Below are 6,000 nucleotides of genomic sequence, written 5' to 3'. Positions count from 1 at the left end.
CTCTTACAACTTTAATTTTTCCTAAAGTTAAAATTAGCTTTTTAAAATTTGCTTATTTTTTTCTAAGGGCTTCTTCATTAATATTCCCCCAAATGCTCCTATATATCTGTCATACTGTTATTAGTTATTTTTTCTAATGTTAAAAAGACTATTTCAAACAATTTATCAGTATCATCATCATCATTATTTTGAGATGGAGTTTTGCTCTGTCGCTCAGGTTGGAGTACAGTGGCGTGATCATGGCTCACTGTAGCCTTGAACTCCTGGGCTCAAGCAGTCCTTCCGCCTCGGCTTCTAAAACACTGGGATTACAGACATGAGCCACCACACTCTGCCTGTTTCATTATTTTTTTAATCCCTGGAGACCCTCCTTTTGGAGCCTTCTGTCCTCTCCAATCTGAGAGATTATTCTCTAGGTCTCTGCTCAGCTCTCATCCTGGGGTTTCTTTTTACCATACTCCCATGTTTCATGGATCTTTGCAGGAAGTATTTAAGCAGCTCAGCATAAAATCACCCTTCCTAGAATTGTACTACTAATTCCTGACCTTCTGTCCTAATCTCTGTGAGTAGGTCATTGTTTTCATATGTACAAGACAATTTATACCTAGTACCTAACTTTGTTCTTTTCTTTAATTAAAAAAACAGCTGTACTGAGGTATAATTGATACACAATAAACTGCATGGAATGAGTTGGACAAGGTAATGAGTTTGGACATATGCATATTCCCATGAAACCATCACCACAATCAGGGTAATAGACATATCTATCACCTCCAAAACTTTCCTTGTGTCCATTTGTCCTTGTGTCTTCTTGCCCAGGAAAGGTCATCCTACCCTAACTTCTAGCCCCATGATGGGGACTCTCATTCCTGCTCACAGACTTCCTTGATCCCAGTGGGCACCTCAGATTCTTCTTGAATTTATTGTCCCTTGGATTCCACATCACTGTGCCCTCTTCAGCATATAGAGGAAAAATAGACTGTGAAGTCACCCAGACCTGAGGTCAAATCTCACCCGCTCCGCTTTCTAGCTGAATAACCTTAGGCAAATGAAGTCTTGTTTTCCACATTAGAGAAACCAGGGATCATAATACCACTTGCATGAAGATTGTTGTAAGGATTAAATGAGGCAATATATACTAAGCAGCTTGGAGAGTTCCTGGCACAGAATACTAGCTCTATTTTCCATTCTCTATTATATTGTCCCTGGTCCCATTGCCAACACAGCTTTTTCTGCATTGTCATCTGGTTTTACCATTTCCTTTGGACAATGGTTTTTTTTTTGTTGTTTGTTTGTTTTTTCCCCCTTTTTGTGACAGACTTACCCTTCTCCATGCATCTGCCCCTGGGTCTGACTCTCCAGCCCCACCTGCCTCCACTTCTCCCATACTTTGATACTTCCCTTTGGCCTCATTCAGCAAATTGGTCTAATTTTTTTCTTTTTGAGACAGAGTCTTGCTCTGTCACCCAGGCTGGAGTGCAGTGGCGTGACCTCGGCTCACTGCAACTTCCATGTCCCAAGTTGAAGTGATTCTCCTGCCTCAGCCTCCCTAGTAGCTGGGATTACAGGCGTTTACCACCACACTTGGCTAATTTTTGTATTTTTAGTAGAGACGGGGTTTCACCATGTTGGCCAAACTGGTCTTGAACTCCTGACCTCAGGTGATCCACCTGCCTTGCCCTCCCAAAGTGCTGGGATTACAGGTGTGAGTCACTGTGCCCGGCCTTGTCTAATTTCAAATAGAGAACTTTTCTAGTCTGCCTAATCCTGCTACAAATAAATGGGTCAAATCAATACTCAGTCACATGTCCATCTTTTTTGGTACAGAGTATTTTCTAGCTCAAAGACGTCCAATGATAAGAGAGATGAAAACAAAATAGAAATGGAGCAATTTTGCTTTGTCATCTGTCAGTATCACACCATCTGCCCCAAGCATCATGCCTACACCTCTCTTGTTCTTTCTTCTCTTTCTAAATATAGATTAAAGAGTCCTTTTAGTTGTCCTTAACTTATTTTGGCAAGGCCCAGCTCATCCTAGGCTTTCATCTTCCTGACACCTTTTCTACAAGTCTGTGCTGCCATTCTGCATTTGTTCTTGATAGAATGTCCCTTTCTCTAAGTCCTCTGAAACTCTTGGCTCTTCAGAGCTCCCTGTGTACCTCATGCTTAACCCTTTGCTGTTTTACTAATCACTTTCTTTTTTTTTTTTTTTTTTTTTTTTTTGAGACGCAGTCTTGCTCTGCCGCCCAGGCTGGACTGCAGCCGTGCGATCTTGGCTCACTGCAAGCTGCGCCTCCCGGGTTCACGCCATTCTCCTGCCTCAGTCTCCCGAGTAGCTGAGACTACAGGTGTCCGCCACCGAGTCTGGCTAACTTTTTTTTTTTTTTTGTATTTTTAGTAGAGACGGGGTTTCACCGTGTTAGCCAGGATGGTCTCCATCTCCCGACCTCGTGATCCGCCCTCCTCGGCCTCCCAAAAGTGCTGCGTGCGGTGGCTCACGCCTGTAATCTCCATCTCAAAAAAAAAAAAAAAGCAAGAATGATTTTTGCCTTTTGTTTTCTTTTTCCTTTCTTCCTTCCTTCCTTCCCCTCCCCTCCCTCTGTCCCTTCCCCTTTCTTTCTTTCCTTCCTTCCTTTTTATCTTTCTTTCTCTTTTGCTTTCTTGCTCTTTTCTTTCTTTCTTTCGCTTCCTCGCTTTTTCTTTCTTTCTTTCGCTTTCTTGCTTCTTTCTTCCCTTCCCTTCCCCTCCCCTCCCCTCCCTTCCCTTCCCTTCCCTTTCTTTCCTTTCTCCTTTTCTTTCGTGTGTGTGTGTGTGTGTGTGTGTGTGTGTGTGTGTGTGTGTGTTTGAGACAGAGTCTCACTCTGTCGCCCAGGCTGGAGTGCAGTGGTGCAAACTCGGCTCACTGCAACCTCCACCTCCCCCACCCCGCCCGGTTAATTTTTGTATTTTTAGTAGAGATGAGGTTTCACCGTGTTGGCCAGGCTGGTCTTGGATTCCTGAATTCAAGTGATCTGCCATGCCTTTCATTTTCTCCATGACATCCTGTCTTGGAGACATCAGTGTCTTACCTGAAACAGACTTCCATAAAATCCTATGAATCCAGCTTATCTTTGTTACTACATGATAAAGTTGTCCTTTTCAATACACGCGTTAAAATATCTTTAAACCTATTCTTCCTCAAACATATGGCAATATAAACTTCTTTCTCATAACTACTCCTGAATAATAGGGCTGACTATATATTAATGATGATTTTTAAGTACTTAAGCAAAAGATAGTTGGGAATTCTGAACTCTATCTCCTACATTATGAAGAAATATATTAATATTTAGTGGTATTTTGCAGCTTTTGTGCAAATTAGAAAATAAAGTTAAAACTTTGAATTCCTTTTGGTTTAATTTCTTAATTAGAACCTATAAAGGAATAAATCTGTGAGGCAATAAAATGAAGAGATAGGACTCACAATTTAATTAAATCTATAGATTTATTAGGCCATAAATTAGTTATCCATGGGTAAAAAGCTTTGTAAGACACATATGAGGATTTTAAAGACAATGCGCAATATCTGAAGTTATTACATATATATTTAGTGTTGCAATTTTCAAGTCACAAAAGAATTACTTGGCTGGGCACAGTGGCTTATGGGTGTAATCCCAGCAATTTTTGAGGCTGAGGCAGGAGGATCGCTTGAGGCTGGTAGTTTAAGACCAGCCTGGGCAACACAGGGAGACCCTCGTCTCTACAAAAAAATATAAAATAAAAAAAAAATAGCTGAGCATGGTGGTGCGAGCCTGTAGTTCCAGCTACTCTGGAGGCTGAGGTGGGGGGATTGCACCACTGCACTCCAGCCTGAGCAACAGAGCAAGACCTTGTCTCTAAAATAAAAAAAAAAAAAAGAAAAGAAAAAAAGAATTATTCATCATTTGGATTCCATTTGAAAGAGATTCTTTGAATTTTAAAAATATTGGCCGGGAGCAGTGGCTGATGCCTGTAATCCTAGCACTTTGGGAGGCTGAGGCAGGTGGATCACCTGAGGTCAAGAGTTCGAGACCTGCCTGGCCAACATAGCAAAACCCCGTCTCTACTAGAAATACAAAAATTTGCCAGTTGTGGTGCTACATGCCTGTAATCCCAGCTACTTGGGAGGCTGAGGCAGGAGAATCACTTGAACCCAGAAGGTGGAGGTTGCAGTGAGCCGAGATTGTGTCACTACACTCTAGCCTGGGTGTTACTGTAAGACTCTGTCTCAAAAAAAAAAATTGTTTATTGATCATAAGGAGTGACTATTGATTACCATCAATCAGAAACAGGGATGAATTACCCCCAAAATAAGAATGGAAAAAAATTTATAAGAACATGCCCAGAATTTTCCATTACAGTGTTTATCAACTTTTTCTTTATACTTATAATATTGCTAAACAGACTGCCTTCAGTGCTTAATAAATGTCTGTGGTTGTTGATATAGTAGGGTTTTTTCCACTGTCTCTCATTCAATCTCCTTTGAAGACACAGATCTCAACCTTATTTATTGATAAGTACTACCTTGGTGATTTTGTTCGCCTCTTATAATGTGAAAAACCAAACACCTAACATTAAATAAATCCATAGAAAAATCTACTTGAGTTGGGAGTAACATTTTCTTATGTTTCTTGAAAGGTAAAATTTTTCATATTTCATAAATGGGGATGATGAAGGACACAGAATTTCTTTCAATGTTTCATCCTTTAGGACGTCCTTTAGGACGAAACACACTCTGATTAGCCCCAGTCTGGGTTAGGTGTCCCTCCTCCATGCAGCTGCAGCTCTTTGTGTTTTTCTCCACCACGGTACTGAGTATATTAGGTTGCAATTTCATATTTAATTGTCTATCTCTTTTACAGAATGGGAGCCCTTGGAGGACAGAGAATGTGTCTTTGATCCCCGTGTGCTTAGCAACTATCATATGTTTATAGTGGACAATAATGACAAATGAATGGATGGATGAATGCATTTTACTTTTAAATTTAGCCAACCCCTCAGGCTAATAACAGATACACACACACACACACACACACAGAGAGAGAGAGAGAGAGAGAGAGAGAGACATAATTTTCTAGATTTAATCATTATTAAACAATATGTTATTTACCCCACCAGGAGTATTTTTTTGTTTTTTTGAGATGGAGTCTTGATCTGTCACCCAGGCTGGAGTGCAGTGGCGGGATCTCGGCTCACTGCAACCTCCGTCTCTCAGGTTCAGTGATTCTCCTGCCTCAGCCTCCTGAGTAGCTGGGATTACAGGTGCGTGCCACCACACCCAGCTAATTCTTGTATTTTTAGTAGAGATGGGGTTTCACCATGTTGGTCAGGCTGGTCTTGAACTCCTGACCTCGTGATCTGCTCACCTTGGCCTCCCAAAGTGTTGGGATTACAGATGTGAGCCACCACGCCCGGCCTCCCACCAGGAATATCTTCCCAAACTACACTAAAGCATCACAGAATTCAAAATGGGAAACCACGACTAGGGCCCACATAACTATTTTTGAGTAACTGGGTTGGCATTTGAAACCCAGGGACTTTGTAGATAATGTATGGAACAGGGTTTTGATAGACCAAGGCAATATATAAATTCAAAGCATTTATGACCATGGGACAGCTTTAAGCGCTAGATCCCTGATAGGTAAAACTCAAAAAAAATTTGCATAGGTTTTATTTTTAGAACAGTTTTACATTTACAGAAAAGAACATAGCACAGAGACTGCAATGCACGTACCCAGTTGCCCCTATTACTGGTATCTTACATTAGTCCGATATATTAATGTTTGTTATAATTAATAAACTGATATTGATACATGTTCATAACTAACGCTCATAATTTATTCAGATTCTCTTAGTTGTAACCTAATGTCCATTCTTTTTCCAGGATCCCAACTAGGACACCACATCACACTTGTCATGGCTCCTTAGGTTCTTCTTGGCTGTGACAATTTCTCAGATTTGTCTTGTTTTTCATGACCTTGA

This window comes from Homo sapiens, chromosome 7 (genome assembly GCF_000001405.40).
Source record: "Homo sapiens chromosome 7, GRCh38.p14 Primary Assembly".
In the NCBI taxonomy this organism is placed as follows: domain Eukaryota; kingdom Metazoa; phylum Chordata; class Mammalia; order Primates; family Hominidae; genus Homo; species Homo sapiens.
This window is presented reverse-complemented; position numbering follows the sequence as displayed.